Genomic DNA, 22578 nt, shown 5'->3' with positions numbered 1-22578 from the left:
GTTTGTGAGGCTTATGGGGGAAGAGAGGGGTAGCTTTGTCTCAAACATTTCAGCCTTTTAATAGATAATAGATAATAGAAGAGGGGCACCATTCTCATCTGGCTACTTCAAGCTAAAGAGGGTCGCTGGTTAAGGGGAAAGGCCGGATGGTGGAGATTGGGTTTGGAGCGGTTGGTATCCTTGGAGCAGCATCATGTCTTGTATTGTTCCATGGGTGAATGCTCTGATACGGTTCTGTAAAAACTGGGTAGGGAGACATAAGAGGCAGGGGCCAAATGCTAAAAAGAAAGAAAGGGTTATAGCAGGACCTAGGAGGGGCAGAGGCCAGGGAGCCCAGGAGTTACTGAACCACTGAGGCCATGTGGATTGACTGTCCCTTAATTTTTGTGCTCGGTCTTTGAGTTTTTTGACCGCATCTCATACTAATCCAGATTGGCTGAGATAGAAACAACATTGTTCACCTAAAAAGACACAGAGACCGCCCTTTTCGGCTGTAAGAAGATCAAGGCCTCTGCGGTTCTGTAGGGTAACTGCTGCTAGAGAGCCTAATTGATTTTGGAGGTGAGTGAGAGAATCTGCAATCTCTTCTGATGATGCTTGAAAGTCTTTGGAGAGTGACTGAAAATATGATAATGAAGTTCCTAAGCTTCCAGCTCCTAGTCCAACACCTGCTGTGACCCTGAGGGCTGCTAATAAAGGAACAAATTGTATTGCCTTCTTTGAACAGGCATGGACTGTGGCGGGCATATGGAGTTCTTGGTCTGGGGGAACGAGATTAATATTGGGGGTAAGGTAAATTAAGGTGCAGGTACCTGTCCAGTTGGTAGGGAGACAGGAGTAGATCGTGGAGCCACAGAAGAAAAAGATGCCTGAGGTGTTGATACAAACAGACAAGTGAATTGAGAACAGATGCTGTAGCATGTACGTTCCTCATTTAGAGAGCCTAGGCTTGGCTTCGGCAACCCAGAGTGAGGAGGAGAGAGAGACCTCTTTGAGAACCCCTGTTTGGGGAAGGAGTTTCTATGTCTGAGAGGCCGGGGGAGAGGTGATGTGAAGGGGCTGAGTGAGGAGACCGTTGGCTTCAGGAAAGACTGAATAATCTACTCGGAGTGAGGTGTGGGAAGACGGGTGAAAGATGATTTGGGTTGAATTACAGGTGGAAGGAGGGACGGTGCCTATGTGTACGTGTCTATTGGAAGAAGTGATACATAAGGGGACTTGGCCAATTCTAGTGGTGTCGAGGGTTATGGGGCCTTGAATGGTAGGGTGAGGGAGCTTGGAGCAGTTGTAGTTGGCAGTACATGTGGAGAGGAGTTTGGTAGCTCTGTTAGCTAAGGTGGTAGGATAGTTTCCGGCGAGGGTGAGGGCTTTGTCTATAAAGGCAGAGACCCTCATTGTAGTAGTGAAGCTCTCTCAGTGAGGGAATACTGGGGTTGGACTGCAGGGGCAATGAGGAGGAGAGAAGCAGGGGCAGAAGAAAGGGAGGCTTCTTTTGCTGCTTCATCAGCCTTTCTGTTCCCTCTTGAAATGTTATCTGATCCTGTTTGGGGTCCTTGACAGTGTATAACTCCTGCTTGAGTTGGCAGGTGTACAGCCTGAAGGAGTTGGTAAATAAGGGGGCCGTTAGTGATGGGGTTCCCTTTGGCAGTAAGGAATCCCCTCTCTTGCCAGATGGTGGTGTGGGAATGAAGGATGTGATAGACATATTTGGAGTCTGTATAAATGTTGACTCATTTGCCTTTGGAAAGGGTTAGGGCTCTGGTGAAAGCTGTAAGTTCTGCTTTTTGGGAGGAGGTTCCTGGAGGTAGGGGCTTGGCTTCAATTACTCAGTCAAGAGAAACAACTGCGTATCCAGCAATTTTGGGGGAGCCAGTGGTCCCAGAAGAGGAGCCATCTATGAATAGCTGGTCATCAGGGTTGGTGAGAGTCTCAGAGGAAATGTTTGGGAAATGTGGCTGCAGGTGGTCTAGGATTTCAGTGCAAGAATGAGTAGGAGGGGAAGAGGATACAGGGAGTAAGGTATTCCCAGGAAGGATGCTGGGTTGAGGGTAGCACTCTTGGCAAGGCTGAATTCAGGATTTTTGATAAAGAGAGCATGGAGTGATTGAATCCGGGAAGGAGGAAGGGAGCTTAATGCTCGGGAGGTGAGGAGATCTTGTAGATTATGAGGATTGTGGATGGTGGTGTTTTGTCCGAATGTTAGTTTCCTGCTTTCTAGAGCTAGAATGGCTGCTGCTGCTAAAGCCCTAAGACAAGCAGGCCACCCTTTGATTGTGTTATCGAGTTGTTTAGAGAGGTAGGCTACAGGGGCAAAGGAAGGAGGATTTCTCTTCTGTTGCCCTAGTACACTGAGGGCTGTTCCTTGGTTCTCGGCAGTACAGACAGTGAAAGGTTGGGTGATATCAGGTAAGGACAGAGCCGGTGCAGTGAGAAGAGTGGTTTGGAGTTTGTGGAAATTGGGGAGTATGTTATATGAGGGGTTTAGGAGTTCATTGAGGGGGACTTTGGCTGCTTCATAGAGGGGGTGAGCCGGAAGGGCAAAGTTGGGAATCTGTATTCTAAAAAAGCCTGCCAGCCCTAGAAAGGAAAGGATTTCATCTTTGGAGGAAGGCGGGGGCAGATTGTTTATGAGTGCTGCTCAGGCTGGGTCATAGCCTGGGCCCCAGGAGAAAGTTGAACTCCTGAGCAAGTCACTTTGGGGATGGAGAGCTGAGCCCTGGAAGGGGAAACTCTATGCCCTTTGGCAGCGAGAAAGTTTAAAAGAGTGACTGTGTGAGTTTGAGAGTCTTTTAGAGAAGGGCTGCAAAGGAGAAGGTCATCCACATACTGAAGGAGACGGCTAGGAGAGAGGTCTAAGGAGGTGAGGTCCTGGGTGAAAGTTTGTCCGAAGAAATGAGGGCTATCCCTGAAGCCTTGAGGGAGGACAGTCCATGTGAGTTGTTGTGACTGGAGGATGTCAGGGTCAGTCCAGGTGAAAGCAAAGAGGTCTTGGGAATCCAGGTATAAAGGAATGGTGAAGAAGGCATCCTTGGCTGGGTGTAGTGGCTCACACCTGTAATCCCAGCACTTTGGGAGGCCGAGTCGTGTGGATCATGAGGTCAGGAGTTCAAGACCAGCCTGGCCAGGATGGTGAAAACCCATCTCTACTAAAAATACAAAATTTAGCCAGATGCTGTGGTGGGCACCTGTAGTCCCAGCTACTCAGGAGGCTGAAGCAGGAGAATCACTTGAACCCAGGAGGCAGAGGTTGCAGTGAACTGAGATCACACCACTGTACTCCAGCCTGGCGAAAGAGCAAGGCATCCTTTGGGTCAATAGCAGTGTAATGGGTTGTGTCAGAGGGATGAGAAAGAGAAGCGTATATGGGTTGGGGTCTATGGGATGAATAGGGAGGACAGCTTGATTGACGGCTCAGAGTTCCTGGACAAGTCAGTATGAGCCATCTGATTTTTTAACGGAGAATGGGGGTGTTATATGGGGAACGTGTTGGTCTAAGAAGACCACATGCATGGAGCTTGTTTATGATGGTCTGTAGGCCTCTTTGGTGAGTCAGAGAAATAGGGTACTGGGGGACATTGGGAAATTTGGAAGGGTCTTTGAGCCAAATTTTGATGGGGTCATGGTGAGTGGCTAAGGAAGGGGTGGTGGTGTCATACATAATTGGATCAACAAGGGAGGCGGGAAGTGGGTACTGGGGAGAGGGGTCAGGGGCTGAAGTAGCGCGAGAAGCAGGAGAGACTCCGGTGGAGGGAGACTGGAGGAAGTGATAGACGCTTTGAATTTGACTAAAAGATCTCGTCCTAAAATAGGGATTGGGCAGCAAGGCATGATAAGGAAAGAGTGTGAGAAGACAGTTTCAAACAGGGAACAGGTGAGAGGCCTGGTGACACGTGGACGAGAAATAAGTCCATCAACCCCTACAACTGAGACCTGGAAGGGATGAGTGGGTCCTGAAAATTCAGGCAAAGCCAAGTAGGTGGCCCTGGTATCAATTAAAAAAGAGATTGGCTTACCTGCCACTAGTAGAGTTACCCTGGGCTCTGATGCAGTGATGGCAGATGGGGCCGGGGGCCCTGGGCCTTGTCAATCTTTAGTGGCCAGGCCAAGGAGCTGCAAGAGTGCAAGCGGCTCTTCGCCCTTTGTGTTGCTGAAGAGGTGGAGGTCTGGAGGGACAGGTTTGTCTGACTGTTGAGGGGACAATCAGATTTCCAGTGACCTATCTGTTGACAAACCGGGCAAGGGCTCTTTGGTACTCGTGAATTAGGACATGCCCCCGCCCAGTGGCCTTCCTTGCTGCACTTGAAACAAGGCCTGCGAGGGATGCTGCTATCAGATCTTTTGTGCCCTTCGGTACTATGCCTAGGCTGACAGATAGCCGCTGCTAGAAGCTGGTATTTAGCACAATCTCTTTGGGCTTTATTTAATTTATTTTGCTCAACCCTGTTATAAAGACTTTGAAAGCCAGGTTAAGGAGGTCTTGCTGTGGGGTTTGAGGGCTATCCTCGACCTTTTTAAGTTTGCGCCAAATGTCTGGGGCTGATTGGGAAATAAAATGAGTATTGAGGACAATAGTCATTTTACAGGAGGTAGGATCAACACAGGTATATTTTTGGGGAACCTCTGTAAGGTGGGAAAGAAACTCAGCAGGGTTTTCATCTGCTCTTTGGGAAATTTCTTTGAGTTTTTTTAAAGTTTACAGCTTTGTGAGCAGCTTTGTTAAGGCCTACAATGAGGCAAGTAACCATATGGTTTCAGGACGCTCGGCTGGGGTCTGTGGGTTGCTATTCCCAGGAAGGCTCTTCCTGGGGGACTGCTGCAGCCCCTACTGGCTTAGTAGGATCTTCCTGATGGAGGTCATTGGCATGTGCCTGGGCCGAGAGCCACACTCTTTCCTTCTCTTCCAGAAAGAGGGTAGAGAAGAGAATAATATAGAGATCATGCTAAGTAAGTTTATAAGACTGGCTGAGATATTTAAATTCTTTGATGTAAGTATTGGGATCAGAGGAGAAGGACCCAAGATGCTTTTTGATTTGGGAAAGATCAGTAAGAGAGAAACGAACATGGACATGGACAATTCCTTCAGCTCTTGCGACCTCTCGGAGCGGGAGTAAGGAAGGGCATCCCGGGTCCGGGAGCAGGTAAGAAGTGGAGACAGGGAGGACTTACAGTCTGAAGCCAGGTGGTTTGAGAGAGGAGGAGAAGGGGACAGAGCTGGAGCAGGGGCATACGGTGGAGGGTCGGGGTGATGGGGAGGAGGATTAGGGCGCGGTTGGGGAATGGAAAAGTCAGCAGGGTCAAAAGAAGAGGAGTCGTCGGTTGGAGCTGATGGGAGGGAAGCAGAAGACGAGTCAGGCTTGGAGCAGGCAGGGAGGATTTGGAAGGTTGAACAGGACTGGCAAAGAGAAGGATGGCAACAGAGGGTGAAAAAATCCTGGACATGAGGAATCTCAGACCAGTTTCCATTGCGATGGCAAAAGTTATCTAAGTCCCTGAGTACACTGAAATCGAAAGTGCCGTTTTCGGGCCATTGGGAACCACTGTCTAATTTATATTGAGGCTATGTAGTGTTACAGTAAAAGATAAGCCTCTTAGGACGGACCTCTGAACAGAGGCAGAGAGCATTGAGATTGCGCAGGAGACACCTGAAGGGGGTAATCTTGGAAAGGGTAGACTGAGAGGCTCCCATGGTGAAGGGAAGGAGAGGGTAGAGGAAGAAGAGACTGCCGATGACAAGAACGGCAGGAGAAGGCATCCCCTGTCCTGCCGATCGTGCCAGGAGAAGGGAGGTAACCCCCGAATCAGGCATCCCCGAGATGGAGGAACTAAAGGCCTGGAGGCTGGAGGAAGCCCTTGACCCAGCGCTGGGTCTTTCGGGCAAGAAAGAGTCGGTCAAGGATTCCAGGTAAATGGTAAGGGTCTCTCTTACTGACCCCTGTGGAGGCCCTGATGGTGGATGCAGTCGCCAGCAATGGTAGAGTCTAGGAGATTCTTCGGGTCTTTGGCAGGTTTGGGAAGGGGAGGACAGCTGGGAGAAGGGGTGATGGCGATGGGGAGTAGACAGAGAGAGAGAGAGAGGGAGAGTCCCTTAAGGATGTCCAGCCAGAGCCTATCCCCTTCCCGGGTTTCGGCACTAAAATGTAAGGGTTGCCGAGAGATAAGACAAGTAGACCCAAAGTCAGGCCAGCAAGTTTGTTAACCTGCCGGGCTGTTCCTTTATAGTCAGAGGAGGCAGCCCCGAGCTAGCAAAGCAGGGGATTGATATAGGGGGTGAGGCTTGGGGATTTTCCAGGTGGGACTATATCCTGGGTCTGTTTGCCTGGGTCTGTTTTGGAATTTTGCAAAAACAATCACTGGAATAGAACAAAGAAGACGGGTAATGGGGGCAGTCTGAGGAGGAAGTTATAGTGGTTTAGCAGCCTCACAGAGGAGTTACAAGAGCTGTTTGTGAGGCTTATGGGGGAAGGGAGGGGTAACTTGGTCTCTACCACTGACCTCAGGTGATTGGCCCACCTTGGCCTCCCAAAGTACTGGGATTACAGGCGTGAGCCACCACGCCCAGCCTGTTTTTTGTTTTTTGAGACAGAGTCTCACTCTGTCACCCAGGCTGGAGAACAGTGGCATGATCTCAGCTCACTGCAACCTCCCCCTCCCAGGTTCAAGTGATTCTCCTGCTTTAGCCTCCCAAGCAGATGGGATTACAGGGGCATGCCATGATGCCCAGCTAAATTTTTGTATTTTTAGTAGAGATGAGGTTTTGCCATGTTGGCCAGGCTGGTCTCAAACTCCTGGCCTCAAGTGATCTGCCCGCCTTAGCCTCCAAAAGTGCTAGGATTACAGACGTGAGCCACCCTGCATGGCCAGATTTCAACACTTTGACCTTCATGAACATAGATAGGCTTTTAAGAACAATTAAGCTGGGCCCAGTGGCACACACCTATAGTCCCAGCTATTTGGGAGGCTGAGGCAGGAGCATTCCTTGAACCCAGGAGTTCAAATACAGCCTGGGCAACTTAGCGAGACCCCATCTCTAAAATAAAACACATTAAAACCTTATAACTTGTAGACAGACCCTGTTGGTATAAATGACCCTGGTGTCCTTGGATGTGTTAGATTTAACCTATCAAGAGCCCCGGTTTACTTCCAACTTAATTTGTTGACCTTCATTCTTAACTTAAAAAAAAAAAAAAAGTTGACAGGGCACTGTGGCTCACACCTGTAATCCCAGCACTTTGGGAGGCCAAGGCAGGCAGATCACTTGAGGCCAGGAGTTCGAGACCAGCCTGGCCAACATGGCAAAACCTCATCTCTACTAAAAATACAAAAATTAGCTGGGCATGGTGGCATATGCCTGTAATCCCAGCTACTCAGGAGGCTGAGGCACAAGAATCACTTGAACCCTGAAGGCAGAGGTTGCAGTGAATCAAGATTGCACCACTGTACCCCAGCCTGGGCGATAGAACAAGACTCCATCTCAAAAAAACATTATATAAAAAAACGTTGCCGGGCACGGTGGCTCACACCTGTAATCCCAGCACTTTGGGAGGCTGAGGTGGGTAGATCATTTGAGGTCAGGAGTTCGAGACCAGCCTGGCCAACATGGTGAAACCCCGTCTCCACTAAAAATACAAAAATTAACTGGGCATGGTGGCAGACACCTGTAATCCCAGCTACTCAGGAGCTTGAGGCAGGAGAATCACTTGAACCTGGGAGGCGGAGGTTGCAGAGAGCCGAGATCATGCCGCTGAACTCCAGCCTGGACAACAGAGCAAGACTCCGACCCCCACCACCCCAAAAAAAATGTTAACAATATTCCTATAATGGACGATTTTCCACAGCCAAGAAGAATAAATAAAGGTACTGGTTTGCACATTCAGGCCTCTCTGAGCTACCCCAGCTGAGAGAAGAAATCAAGAGTACTTTTATCAATGAGGAAATGCTGATGCCAAAACTTGGTAGAGCTGAAAATTCATAATCATACTGCTCTGAAGTGAGATCAACTCTGTTCAGGGCAATTGACAAGGAAGTTGCTCTCTAGTAAAATTAAAAGACCAGTCATTGGGATATAAATAGTGACAATAAGCAACCACTTGCTTGCTTGCTTTTTTAATTTTATTTATTTATTTTTTTTTTTTTGAGGAGTTTCGCTCTTGATGCCCAGGCTGGAGTGCAGTGGCACAATTTCGGCTCACTGCAACCTTCACCTCCCGTGTTCAAACAATTCTCTGGTCTCAGCCTCCTGAGTAGCTGGGATTACAAGCACGTGCCACCATGCCTGGCTAATTTTGTATTTTTAGTAGAGATGGGGTTTCACCATGTTGGTCAGGCTGGTCCAAACTCCTGACCTCAGGTGATCCACCCGCCTCGGCCTCCCAAAGTGCTGGGATTACAGGCGTGAGCCACCATGTCCGGCCCACTTTCTTTATTTTAACTTTCTAGGTGAGCAAGCCCTGTACTGTCTGAGGCCAAAGGGTTCAAGGTTGCTCATTTTTCTTTCAGAACTGTTTTTTTTTTTTAAAGACAGGGTCTTGCTATGTTGCCGAGACTGGAGAGCAGTGGCTATTCACAAGTGCTATCCCAGCACGCTGCAGCCTGAAACTCAGTAGCTGAAACAACAGGCAGGAACCACCTTGCCCACCTCTTAGTTACAATTCTTGAGAGGTGTCCCTAAGAATACTTTATTTTAGATTTTTTTTTTCTGGCTTTGGTAGAGACAGAGTCTTGCTATATTGCCCAGGCTAGTCTTGAACTCCTGACCTCAAGCAATCCTCCTGCCTCAGCCTACCAAAGTGTTGAGATTACAGTAGTGAGCCACTGCTCCCAGCCTTACTTTAGATTTTTATATTCCTCCCGTAACAGCTGCTCCACTGAAATATTCTGGAAAACGCAAAGAAGCAGCCAGTGCTGTGTTTTTGTTTATCTTCAACTGTCTACATTTTCTCTGCTTCTCAATGTCTTGCTTGCAAAAACAAAGCAACTTTTGAAGGGTTTATTACTTGCTGCCGCATCCCCTGCAGTCAGGAGAACCACCACCATATTGAAGGCAGTCCTGTAAATATGCAGTTTTTCCAGCTGAAGCATTTATTGTACGCTCATGACACCCAGTGGTCAGAAAAATACTGTGCAGAATTTTTGTTATGTTTTTGTTTTTGTATTTGAGGCAGAGTCTCGCTCTGTCACCCAGGCTGGAGTGCAGTGGCACAATCTTGGCTGACTGCAACCTCTGCCTCCCAGGTTCAAGCCATCTTCCAGCCTCAGCCTCCCGAGTAGCTGGGATTACAGGTGCACACCACCATGCCCGGCTAATTTTTGTATTTTTAGTAGAGACAGGGTTTCACCATGTTGGTCAGGCTGGTCTCAAACTCCTGACCTCAGGAGTTTGATCCACCCACCTTGGCCTCTCAAAGTGCTGGAATTACAGGCATGAGCCATCGTGCCTGGCTAATGTTTGTATTTTTAGTAGAGATGGGGTTTCACCATGTTGGTCAGGCTGGTCTTGAATTCCTGAGCTCAAGTGATCTGCCCACCTCAGCCTCCCAACGTGCTGGGATTACAGGCGTGAGCCACCGCGCCTGGCCCTGTTTTTTTTGTTTTTGCTTCATACAAGATCCACGGTGTGACCGCAAACAGCTGGTTCTGCGGAGGGCTGAGGGATGGAAAGATATGGAAGCCACGAGGAAAGAGGAATGAGCCTGGTGTCTCCCTGATGCATTGCCAAGGAGACTCAGGGCTGGACCAAGAAACCTACCGGATGGTCAGGAAGCTGCCCAGAAACGGCTGTTTGGATATTGAGGCAATCCCATTTTCCAGACCATCAAATACTTGTTTACAGAGAACTTGATTTGTTTACAAACTCATATTGGGGTAAAATTAAAGTAATATAATACAACATTAACCTCTTTTTTTTCCTATTTTATAGAGACAGGGTCTTGCTATGTTGCCCAGGCTGATCTTGAACTACTGGGCTCAAACAATCCTCCCGTCTCGGCCTCCTAAAGTGCTGTGATTACAGGCACGAGCAACTTTTTTTATATATTTTTTTCTTGAGACAGAGTCTCAGTCTGTCGCCAGGCTGGAGTGCAGTGGTGTGATCTCGGCTCACTGCAACCTCCAACTCCCTGTTTCAAGCAATTCTCCTGCCTTGGCCTCCCGAGTAGCTGGGATTACAGGCACGAGCCACCACACCCAGCTAATTTTTGTGTTTTTAGTACAGATAGGGTTTCACCATGTTGGCCAGGATAATCTCAAACTCCTGACCTCGTGATCTGCCCGCCTCGGCCTCCCAAAGCGCTGGGATTACAAGCGTGAGCCACCGCGCCCGGACTTTTTTTTTTTTTTTTTTTTTTTTTTTTTTTTTGATACATAGTCTCCTTCTGTAACCCAGGCTGGAGTGCAGTGGCGCAATCTCAGCTCACCACAGCCTCCACCACCCAGGTTCAAGTGATTCTCCTGCCTCACCCTCCCAAGTTGCTGGGACTACAGGCGCGTGCCACCATGCCCGGCTAATTTTTGTATTTTTAGTAGAGACAGGGTTTCATCCTGTGCGCCAGGCTGGTTCGAACTCCTGGGCTCAAGTGATCCTCCTGCCTCAGCCTCCCAACATGCTGAGATTACAGGTTTGAGCCACTGTGCTGGACACATTAACTTTTTTTTTTTTTTTTGAGACAGAGTTTCGCTCTTGTCCAAGCTGGAGTGCAATGGCAAGATCTCGGGTCACTGCGACCTCTGCCTCCTGGGTTCAAGTGATTCTCCTGTCTCAGCCTCCTGAGTAGCTGGGATTACAGGCACCCGCCACCACACTTGGCTAATTTTTTTCTATTTTTAGTAGAGACGGAGTGTCACCATGTTGGCCAGGCTGGTCTCGAACTCCTGACCTCAGGTGATCCACTCACCTCAGCCACCCAAAATGCTGGGATTACAGGCGTGAGCCACCGCACCTCACCACATTAACGTTTTTAAAAAGTACACTTCAGTGGCATTTAGTACCTTCACAGATGCTGCGTACCAGCCCCTCTATCTTGTTCCAAAACATTTTCATCACCCCGAAAGAAAACCCCGTACCCATTAGCGGTCATTCCTCATTCCCCCCTCCCCATCCCTTGACAACCACTGATCTGCTTTCTGTCTTGATAAATTCACCTATTCTGAATATTTCGTATAAAGGGGATCATTCATATATTTCACATAAGCGGAATCATGATCTTTATGTCTGGCTTTTAACACTTAAGGTCATGTTTCTGAGGTTCATCTACGTTGTATCACACATCAGTAGTTAATTTGTTTTCACGGCTGGATGATATTCTGTTGTATACGTATATACCACATTTTGTTTCTCCATTCATCTGTTGATGGAATTTTGAGTAATTTCCACTTTTTGGCTATTGAGAATAGTGCTGCGATGAACATTTGTGTGCAAGTATTTGTTTGACTATCTGTTTTCAGTTCTTCGGGGTGCGTACCTAGGAATGTAATTGCTGGGCCACAGGATAAGTCTGTTTAACTTTTTGAAGAACTGGTGATAGATTTTTAGACCCCTTGAAATTAATAGAGAATTGTATTTAGACTAGCACCACATTTTCCCAAATGAACAGTTGATTTTTTTTTCCCTTGAGCAATTTTCTTTATTATGTATATCTGACTTGTTAGCTCGGTCTCGAAGTACCCATGGGAATGAATGCAGATGGACAGGATAAAAGAACCCATTCAGGGGAAAGTTAATTTGCCTAAAGATTCCCTGTTGCTATCTGTTTAGCTTGAGTGACAGCTCAGCAAACAGAAATCTTTGCTCCAAATCTTTGTTATGATCTCTGTCATAACATTTTGTTTGAAAATCGCCTCCAGACCTAAAATGAATTTGAGCAGCCAATGTGAATTAATTAAGCTGAAAAGAACTCTCAAAACAATGATTTCTCTGATGTGTTTTTATCCAAACCTTCCAGGTCACTAATTTGTCCTGTTTTCTTTAAAAGGAGAAAATAATGAAGGGGTGTATTTGGTGCCCTCTACAGTAAAATATCTTTGATATCAGTGGAGAAGGAGCTGCTTGGCATAAATGAATGTTCTTGAAAACTCGAGATGACCCCTTTAAACTCACATTATAAATCTGTTAACCCTTTTTGGATGAAAAGTTTTCTAAAACCAAGTGCTCAATTTCCTGGCTTGTTTGGTTCAGATGTTACCCACTGTGTTGACAACAACCATTTTTGCTTGATTGTTTTGATACAGTCTCGCTCTGTCGCCCAGGCTGGAGTGCAGTGGCATGATCTGGGCTCACTGCAACATCCGCCTCCTGGGTTCAAGCAATTCTCAACCTCAGCCTCCCGAGTAGCTGAGACTATAGGCACACGCCATCATGCCTGGCTAATTTTTTGTATTTTTAGTAGAAATAGGGTTTCGCCATGTGGGCTGGTCTCTCGAACTGCTGACTTCAAGTGATCTGCCAGCCTCGGCCTCTCAAAGTCCTAGGATTATAGGTGTGAGCCACCGCACCCGGCCAATTTCCTGCCTTCTTAAACAGAAGATGCTGTGTATGATGAACATTATTTGTTGGACTAACTTTGAGCTCAGTGGTCTTCTCAAGAGCTCAGAGCTTGAAAAGCGTGCCTGTAATTTACTTCAAAAACCCTCAGCACCAACTGTACGTGTCACTTAGCTTCAGCCTGCTTTCTAGGGGCAGTCAGCGCTGCGGAATTGGGAGCGCGAAATTCCAGGGGTGATTAGAACCTACATTTGAAAGACTCAACAAAAGCCACTCTAGCTCTATCTCCAATCCACACCAGATGGTTTGTTAATTAGCACAATGAGAGCTAAGAATGATTTTTCATTGATAAAATGAGTAGTGTTCAAGGCCATTGAACCAGCACCGATTACTCTCTGTGGTCTAGATGCCCCTGCCTTTGTATGAGCAAATCCAGTGAGCCCTGGATGTCATTTTAATTTTCAAATAGCCATACTTTCGAAAAGCAAAAAGAGCTGGGCGCAGTGGCTCACGCCTGTAATCCCAGCACTTTGGGAGGCCGAGGTGGGTGGATCAGCTGAGGTCAAGAGTTCGAGACCAGCCTGACCAACATGGTGAAACCCCATCTCTATTAAAAATACAAAAATTAGCCCGGCGTGGTGGCACGCACCTGCAATCCCAGCTACTCGGGAGGCTGAGGCAGGAGAATCACTTGAACCCGGGCGGCGGAGGTTGCAGTGAGCCGAGATCACACCACTGCACTCCAGCCTGGGCGACTGAGTGAGACTCCGTCTCAAAAAAAAGAAAAAATAAAATTAAAAGTGAAAAGAAACAGAGATGCAAAGGCCCAGACCTCATGTCTCAATTTGGGACCAGAGCTTCATTGCAGAAACGGCCTCAGTTCCAGCAACACTGGGTTCTCCCTCTGCCAGGTCCTGCCTTCCTCACTACCTGGGGGAGTCTTTTCCGAGAAAGACACCCCCAGGCACCCTCTGTAGAGTGTTTCACGGGACACCAGGACTCAGCTCAGTTTAGGAAGTTCTCCCTCTATGGGGTGAGCCTCTGCAGTGTGCAACACCATCTCCCTACCACGTAGGTAACGCGCAGGAGAGGAGCATGCTCGGAGGGAAACCAGAAGGGTTATTTCTCAGGTGGAAACCAGTCTCACTCCACGTGTTTGCCAAAGCCAGAATGGGGCTCTGCAGTCCTGACGCTTTGGTCTTTAGAAGGTAGACAATATGAGCTCACTAAGAAAACAAACCAGGGAGTAAGTTATCTGCACTTTTTAGCAAACACGCACACGGTCAGGTGCAATGAATGGCTCACTGCTCTTGGCCAACCTGTTAAATTCCAGGATTTGGGGAGGCTGATGGGAGGATTGCTTGAGGCCAAGAGTTTGAGGCTGCCATGAGCCATGATTATGCCACTGCACTACAGCCCGGGCAACAGAGCAAGACCCTGACTCAAATTTTAAAAACTTTTTAAAGAAAAGAAAACACACCCACACCCACCCACCCCCGCACAAACACACACACACACACACAGCAATCAGTAAGAATAACACTGGGATGGCCGGGCGCATTGGCTCACACCTGTAATCCCAGCACTTTGGAAGGCCGAGGATGGCGGATCACTTGAGACCAGGAGGTTGAGACCAGCCTGGCCAAAATGGTGAAATCCCATCTAATTTTTGTCACCCCATTTAATCTTTGTAAACATACAAAAATTAGCCAGGTGTGGTAGCACACACCTGTAGTCCCAGCTACTCGGGAGGCTGAGGTAGGAGAATCGCTGGAACCTGGGAGACGAAGGTTGTGGTGAGCCGAGATCGCGCTCCTGCACTTCAGCCTGGGCGAAAGAGCGATACTCAGTCTCAAAAAAAAAAAAAAGAAGAAGAAGAAAAAAGAAGAACACTGGGATGATTTCTGAGGAGTTTCCCATGTAGTAAAATGTAGTTTTAAAATACTCAGTGAGAATAGCAAGAATCTTCTAGAGACCTTAATCACCCTGGGTCTTTGGGCCACTTTCTTTTTTTTTTTTTTTTTTTCAGAGTAAAGTGAATGCAAGTTTATTAGAGGAGAAACAAAAGCTACTCCATAGAGCAGCCCCAAGGGCTACTGGTTGGTTATTTTTTTTTTTTTTTAATTGATCATTCTTGGGTGTTTCTCACAGAGGGGGATTTGGCAGGGTCATAGGACAATAGTGGAGGGAAGGTCAGCAGATAAACAAGTGAACAAAGGTCTCTGGTTTTCCTAGGCAGAGGACCCTGCGGCCTTCCGCAGTGTTTGTGTCCCTGGGTACTTGAGATTAGGGAGTGGTGATGACTCTCAACGAGCACGCTGCCTTCAAGCATCTGTTTAACAAAGCACATCTTGCACCGCCCTTAATCCATTTAACTCTGAGTGGACACAGCACATGTTTCAGAGAGCACAGGGTTGGGGGTAAGGTCACAGATCAACAGGATCCCAAGGCCGAAGAATTTTTCTTAGTACAGAACAAAATGAAAAGTTTCCCATGTCTACTTCTTTCTACACAGACACGGCAACCATCCAATTTCTCAGTCTTTTCCCCACCTTTCCCCCCTTTCTATTCCACAAAACCGCCATTGTCATCATGGCCCGTTCTCAATGAGCTGTTGGGTACACCTCCCAGACGGGGTGGCGGCCGGGCAGAGGGGCTCCTCACTTCCCAGTAGGGGCGGCCGGGCAGAGGCGCCCCTCACCTCCCGGACGGGGCGGCTGTCGGCCACTTTCAATCAGCCCAACCTCAGAGATGACAACAACAAAGTTGGCCAACCAGTGGACCAGGGTCCCCTGGGGGTCACCCCTGACACAGTCTCCCATCCACTGCAGTCCCCTGAGTTGGCACTGCCTGCCTCCCAGATGGTGGACTCACTCAAGACACCCGAGCTCATATAAAACCTACCCAAGGGGCCCTCCAGGGCAGGCAAAGACATTACTGCACAGTTTGGGGAGGTTTTTGTTGTTTTTTTGTTGTTGTTGTTGTTGCTTTTTTTACTGCCCAGTCTTTAGAGACCCCTCCCTGGGAGACTGAGATGGTTAATTAATCAAAACAACGCTATTCACAAGTTTTGAACTTCCTGTTCGGCCACTGTCCAGTTGATTCCTGCACACTCGATTCACCTCTCAGAGTCCTTCGGGTTGAATTATGTAAGCCTTTTTCTAAATAATCAAAGGAACTTGTGGAAGCATGCCCTGGCCAGCCCTTAGCACCCCACTGGGGAAGGCAATGTAAAAAGAGACTGAAGAGAGTGGAGTGCTTGTATTTACCTCTGGAGCCCTTGGGCCACTCTGACTAACAAAAGAACTCCTCCCAAAACAAACCCTTCCCCTTAAAAAAGGGAAAGAAGAGTGGATCCTCCCAGCCCCTCTAGGGGGTCTACCTAGATTGTGGTTCTTAGGCGGAGGAGGGAGGAACTGCCCCAGGGAACACAGGATGTCACTGCCTCTTGCCTGGCCATCCTTTAATGTATCTGATCTGAGTCCTAGCTACAGGCAAACAGGTGTGGGCTCCGGAAATTGTACACTACAAGGAATACATGCCTTTTGTTAAAAACAAAGCAAAATGAAATGAAATAAAATGAAGGAATAAATAAAATATCCAAGCAATGTGTAGAGAAGCAAAAGCAAATCCCTCCATTTCCTGTCTTCCCTCCAGCTCCCTCTGCAGAGGGAGCCGCTGTTGACCTGTTAACCACGTGGTCATGCCCTTCTGCAGACTCCAGATGCACAGTCACGCACACACGCAGGTGGACTATTACACACATGGTTCAGAGGTTTGATTTTTTCACTTTCTGTATTATGGACACTTTTCCACGATGTACATACACTGTAGATCAACCTCATTGGTTTTTTGTTTTGTTTTGAGACAGGGTCTGGCTCTGTCGTCCAGGCTGTAGTGCAGTGGTGTGATCTCAGCTCACTGCAACCTCTGCCTCCTGGGCTCAAGTGATCCTCCCACCTCAGCCTCCAGAGTAGCTGGGACTACAAGCATGCCACCAAGCCCACCCAGCTAGGTTCTGTATTTTTTGTAGAGATGGGATTTTGCTGTGTTGCCCAGGTTGGTCTCGATCTCCTGAGTGAAAGTGATCCCCGCGGCACCCCACCCCCCTCCATCCCCCACCACACTTGGCCAACCTCATTGTTTTAATTGTTGAAACACATTCAGTATTTTGTATGTACCGGAGTAGAGTATTGATGAGGAAATCGCCCATTTCCTTCCTTGCACGTCTGTGCTCAATGGTGGCACATTCTCTCCTCAGTCTCAGCCAGCTCTGCTGCTTTAAATATCACCCCCCAGATGTCTGTCTCCAGCCTGACCTCTCCTCCCACCTCCAAGACTTGTAATCCCAACCAACTTCTCTGCCTCCCCCTGGAGGTCTAGCAGGCATCTCCAACCTGCCACCTTCCTCATTCTCCAGCTCCATTCCCCTCCTTGTCTTCCCCATCTCAGCAAATGCTATCACCAGTAGCTCATACCAGCTCATACCAGTCATCCCACCCATCAGTAAGCCTGTTGGCTCTCCCTCCAAACACATGTCCTGAATCCAACCATTGCTTCCCACTTCACCTGCTGCAACTCTAGTCCAAGCAGGATCTTTCTCCTGAAAGATCACCACCAGGTTCTTGTGTTCACTCCTATTTTCTACAGTCCAGGGAAAGCATTCTAAAGGTGAATCCAGGCCAGGCGTGGTGGTGCATGCCTGTAATCCCAGCTACACAGGAAGGTGAAGCAGGAGACTCGCTTGAACCCAGCAGGCAGAGGTTGAAGTGAGCAAAGATCGAGCCACTGTACTCCAGCCTGGGGAACAGACAGAGCGAGACTCCGTCTCAAAAAAAAAAAAAGATGAATCCATTGCCCTTCCCTTCTTAAAACCATGCAATGGTTTCCCATTAGAACCAGAACAGAATTCAAACCCCTTACCATGGCCCACAAGGTCCTATAGGATCCAATCCCCGCCCACCTCTCCTCTCCAGATGGTTGTATAAAACTGTGGCTAGCTCTGCAGATTTCTGACCATTGACCGTAGTATACTCCTGGTCGTGTGGCGGTGAATGTGGTTTGGTTTAGGCGTCCGGGGATTGCATCTGTTTTTAGGCCTAATGTAGGGACAGTTCATGAGTGTAAGACGTCTTGTGATGTGATTATTAAGTCAGTGGGGTCCTCCAGGAAGTGAGCACTCAGATGGACGTAGGAATGCAAGAGTGTATTGGGGCCAGGTGCTGTGGTTCACGCCTGTAATCCCAGCAGTTTGGGAGGCCGAGGTGGGTGGATCACAAGGTCAAGAGATCGAGACCAGCTTGGCCAACATGGTGAAACCCCCTCTCTACTAAAAATACAAAAATTAGCTGGGCATGGTGGTGTGCTCCTGTAGTCCCAGCTACTTGGGAGGCTGAGGCAGGAGAATCGCTTGAACCCGGGAGGCAGAGGTTGCAGTGAGCCGAGATCGCACCACTGCACTCCAGCCTGGCGACAGAGTGAGACTCCGTCTCAAAAAACAAAAAAAACAAAACAAAACAAAAAAGAGTGTATTGGGACTACACGTTGGGTATGGTGTGTGCTTCCTGGGTGACGGGGGTACCAAAATCTCAGAAATCACCATTAAAGAACTTATCCATGTAACCAAAAACCACCTATTCCCCAAAAACTGTTAAAATAAAAGGGTGTATTGGGGGTAGCAGCTGTGAAAGAAAAAGCAGGAGAGAGCGGGATTTATCAGGGAGAGTCTCAGACGATGATGCAGAACCGTCTTGGCTAATCCAACGGGGAGCTCTGGAGCAAATACAGGCCATCAGTACAGCCCCGTTGGGCAGAAATGACCAGGCCTGGTATCCCAGCATGCTTAGTCATTGTCTTGGGGCTACCCAGACAGAGCATGGCCTTGGCTCAAAAACTGGAGGCCTGGTGGGTGCAGTGGCTCCCATCTGTAATCCCAGCACTTTAGGAGGCCAAAGCGTGAAGACTGTTTGAGCCCTGGAATTTCAGACCAGATCACTCATGCTATTGTTTGTGTGATAACTAGCCAGAGCCCATCCCTTTGTCTTGGCCCATCCCTTTGTTTCCTGTAGGGAATACTTTTAGTTAATCTATAATCTATAGAAATAATGCTTATCACTGGCTTGCTGTCAATAAACATGTGAGTCAAGCTCTGAAGGCTGTGAGTCCCCTGATCTCCCACTCCACACTCTATATTTCTGTGTGTGTGTCTTTAATTCCTCTAGTGCCGCCGGGTTAGAGTCTCCGCGACTGAGCTGGTCTCGGCAAGCGGTGCCCAACATGGGGGCTCACATCCGGGTCAAAGGGTCGCCGGAGCGACAGTTGGAGAACGTGAAACTAAACTGGAGGACACCCGAGTACTCTTAAGCAATCCCCGTGGTGAGTAAGAAGAGGAGCTCAGAAGCATCAGGGTCCTTGGAAGCTTTTCACACTGATGATGACGAGGAAGGAAAGTATAATGAAGTAACAGAAGAGGTGACAGAGCAGGTTTGTTTGCCAGCTAAAGCTAAAGCAGCAAAGGAGGAAGAGGTTCATCCCTACCCTCCTGCATCCCCTCCTTATTTTGAAGACAGAAAGTGGCCTGACCTCCAGATCTTTCTTTTCCAGAGGACACTGGGCAAAAAGTAGTTGCCCCAGTGACTGTTCAAGCAGCGCCTCGAATGACTGCTCTTAGTTCTATTCAGACAGGAATTCAGCAAGCTAGAAGAGAGGGTGATATAGAGGCTTGGCAGTTCCCTGTTAGAATATATCCCCCAGATCATCAGGGAAATATTATAGCTACATTTGAGCCTTTTTCTTTTAAATTACTCAGAGAATTTAAGCAAGCTATTAATCAATATGGACCAGGTTCTCCTTTTGTAATGGGACTGTTAAAGAATGTTGCTGTCTGCAATCAGATGATGCCAGTGGGGACAGTAGGATTACTACTTAAACTAGGTAGGTCTAGTTTAAATTTAAAAGGAGTGCAAGTACAGACAGGAGTCATTGATTCAGATTACAATGCAGAAATTCAAATTGTTATATCTACTTCTGTTCCCTGGAAAGCAGAGCCAGGAGAGCGTATAGCACAGCTCCTGATTGTGCCGTGAGAGTGGACAGGGCGATGGCAGGTTCGCCGGGTGTGAGGCTTCACAGCGGTCCAGGGACCAAGTCGAGATGGTGAAAACAAGACCAAGATTGGAAAGCCAGCTTCAGAGGAGGGAATTACAGCAAAAATTGAACCATTGACAGAAGAGTCTAGCAGTCTCAGAGAGAATGTTCTCCAGGATTCTGAAGGCAGAGAATTCTGTGAATTTGGGGATAAATTAAATGAAAAAGATCAGAACGCCTTTAAAAGGAGACCTCAAAACTGTGACAAATATGGGCAAAGCTTTGTTTGGAGTACAAGCCTTTTTAGGCATCGAAGAACCCATGGTGAGAAAGCTTATGAATGTGGTAAGTGTGGAAAGGCCTTTAGTGTGAGCTCAGCCCTGGTTCTGCATCAGAGAAAGCATGCTCATTTTTAGAAGTCTCTTCTTACTGCTCATTTTTAAACTCATTTTTAAAAATTTTTGGCTGGGCACAGTGGCTCACACCTGTAATCCCAGCACTTTGGGAGGCCAAGGCAGAAGGATTGCCTGAGCTCGGGAGTTGAAGACCAGCCTGGGCAAAATAGCAAGACCCCATCTCTATTAAAAATAGAAATCGGGCCGGGCGCGGTGGCTCACGCCTGTAATCCCAGCACTTTGGGAGGCCGAGGCGGGCGGATCACGAGGTCAGGAGATCGAGACCATCCCGGCTAAAAAAACGGTGAAACCCCATCTCTACTAAAAATACAAAAAATTAGCCGGGTGTAGTGGCGGGCGCCTGTAGTCCCAGCTACTTGGGAGGCTGAGGCAGGAGAATGGCGTGAACCCGGGAGGCGGAGCTTGCAGTGAGCCGAGATCGTGCCACTGCACTCCAGCCTGGGTGACAGAGCGAGACTCCGTCTCAAAAAAAAAAAAAAAAAAAAAAAAATAGAAATCGCCGGGCGCGGTGGCTCACGCCTGTAATCCCAGCACTTTGGGAGGCAGAGGCGGGCGGATCACGAGGTCAGGAGATCGAGACCATCCTGGCTAACACAGTGAAACCCCATCTCTACTAAAAATACAAAAAATTAGCCGGGCGTAGTGGCGGGCGCCTGTAGTCCCAGCTACTTGGGAGGCTGAGGCAGGAGAAAGGCGTGAACCCCGGGAGGCGGAGCTTGCAGTGAGCCGAGATTTTGCCACTGCACTCCAGCCTGGGTGACAGAGCAAGACTCTGTCTCAAAAAAAAAAAAAAAAAAAAAAATCAAGGCCGGGCACAGTGGCTCATGCCAGTAATCCCAGCACTTTGGGAGGCTGAGGCTCATGGATCACTTGAGGTCAGGAGTTTGAGACCAGCCTGGCCAACATGTTAAAACCCTGTCTCTACTAAAAATACAAAAATTAGCCAGGCATGGTGGTGGGCATCTGTAATCCCAGCTACTCAGAAGGCTGAGACAGGAGAATCGCTTGAATCCAGGAGGTGGAAGTTGCAGTGAGCTGAGATCACACCATTGCACTCCAGCCTGGGCAACAGAGCAAGACTCCATCTCAAAAAAAAAAAAAAAGAAAGAAATCAAAAAGCAGCACCGCCCCACCCAAAAAAAAATCCATGAGTAGTTATTTAATAATCTGTATCTGATTTCTCCAAAATCCTAAAGAGGCCTAAGTCTGTTGTTCATAGTTTCTCATTCATCATGGCTGGCTTCCTTGTGTGTTTGGAAATTATGTATCATGAGGCTGTGCTTTGTTGAACTTAATAAGTGTAATCTCAAGGGCTAAACTGGGAATGTTTTCCTCCAGACAGGAGTGACTGGTGAGACAGTCAGCTACAAAATGGAAAAAAACAAATATGACAAAATGCCAAGGGGCCTAACACCACGGAAGCAATAAGGGCTGCAGGAAATGAAAAGAGAGATATCTGAGGTGGTATTAAAGGTAGTGAAAGAGATGGGTCGGTATGTGATGAAGATCCTTTTCTTTAGAAAAGAATTCTTCTCACAGTCACGTGGTCACAGGATTGTTACTTTAGAATCCCTTCCAACATGTCTGGACCACATTAGCCAGGAAAAAGAACTTTAACATAGAGGACACAAACACAGGGCGTGCAGTAGCGCCAGAATCTTTGTATAGGAGGCTCAGAGGAGCAGCAAGATCGAAACAGACACCCAGGGCGGGGCGCAGTGGCTCACGCCTGTAATCCCAAGCACTTTAGGAGGCTGAGGTGGGTGGATCACTTGAGGTCAGGAGTTTGAGACCAGCCTGGCCAACATGGTGAAACACTGTTTCTACTAAAAATACAAAAATTAGCTGGGGGTGGTGGTGGGTGCCTGTAATCCCAGCTACTCGAGAGGCTGAGGTGGGAGAATCACTTGAACCCAGGAGGTGAAGGTTGCAGTGAGCCTGAATCGTGGCACTGCACTCCAGCCTGGGCAACAGAACAAGACTCCGTCTCAAAAGAAGAAAGAAAGAAAAAGAGAGAAAAAAAGAAAGAGAGAGAGACAGAGAAAGAGAAAGACCCAGAACGCTTGCCTTACAACTCTATGCTTAATAATCTGTATCTGGCCAGGCGGGATGGCTCATGCCTGCAACCCCAGCACTTTGGAAGGCCAAGGCAGGTGGATCATCTGAGGTCAGGGGTTCGAGACCAGCCTGGCTAACATGGCAAAACCCCATCTCAACTAAAAATACAAAAATTAGCCGGGCATGGTGTTGCACGCCTGTAATCCCAGCTACTTGGGAGGCTGAGGCAGGAGAATCGCAGAGGTTTCAGTGAGCCAAGATCATGCCACTGCACTCCAGCCTGGGCAACAGAGACTCCATCTCAAAAATAATTAATTAATTAATTAATTAATAAAATAATCTGTATCTGATCACTCCAAAAACCTGAGATGGCCTAAGTCTGTCATTCATAGTTTCTGCTGATTCTCACTCATGATGGCTGGTGTGTTTGGAAATTGTATTTAATATACCTTGAGTTCGTACTTAGTTGAACTTAATATGTGTAATCTCGAGGGCTAAATTAGAGATGTTTTCCTCCAGACAGCAGTGACTCCCCAAACCAGA

General features: G+C 47.9%; 1 long non-coding RNA gene across 2 annotated transcripts, besides 2 other annotated features; it reads left to right on the top strand.

Annotated features, from left to right (window-relative positions):
• The first annotated feature begins 493 nt into the window (after positions 1 to 493).
• LINC03153 (long intergenic non-protein coding RNA 3153) lies at positions 494 to 22152 on the top strand. Of its 2 annotated transcripts, XR_002958531.2 has the most exons (4): positions 494 to 561; positions 18697 to 18850; positions 19517 to 19906; positions 21316 to 22152. It is a non-coding gene; the product is annotated as a long intergenic non-protein coding RNA 3153 (long non-coding RNA). The 2 variants fall into 2 exon arrangements; XR_002958527.2 differs by lacking the exon at positions 21316 to 22152 and having other exon boundaries at positions 19520 to 19796.
• Positions 18234 to 18734: an enhancer, noted in NCBI's record as "H3K4me1 hESC enhancer chr1:8968693-8969193 (GRCh37/hg19 assembly coordinates)". NCBI's record gives its function as "activates a minimal SCP1, AML or CMV promoter by ChIP-STARR-seq in primed H9 embryonic stem cells {active_cell/tissue: H9 hESC(primed)}" and the evidence as "EXISTENCE:reporter gene assay evidence [ECO:0000049][PMID:30033119]".
• Positions 18735 to 19235: an enhancer, noted in NCBI's record as "H3K4me1 hESC enhancer chr1:8968192-8968692 (GRCh37/hg19 assembly coordinates)". NCBI's record gives its function as "activates a minimal SCP1, AML or CMV promoter by ChIP-STARR-seq in naive and primed H9 embryonic stem cells {active_cell/tissue: H9 hESC(naive and primed)}" and the evidence as "EXISTENCE:reporter gene assay evidence [ECO:0000049][PMID:30033119]".
• Positions 22153 to 22578: the final 426 nt, after the last annotated feature.

The sequence above is a fragment of the Homo sapiens genome, chromosome 1 (genome assembly GCF_000001405.40).
Source record: "Homo sapiens chromosome 1, GRCh38.p14 Primary Assembly".
Taxonomy (NCBI): Eukaryota; Metazoa; Chordata; class Mammalia; order Primates; family Hominidae; genus Homo; species Homo sapiens.
The sequence above is the reverse complement of the archived record's forward strand: the minus strand, read 5'-3'. Positions and strand labels throughout refer to the sequence as shown.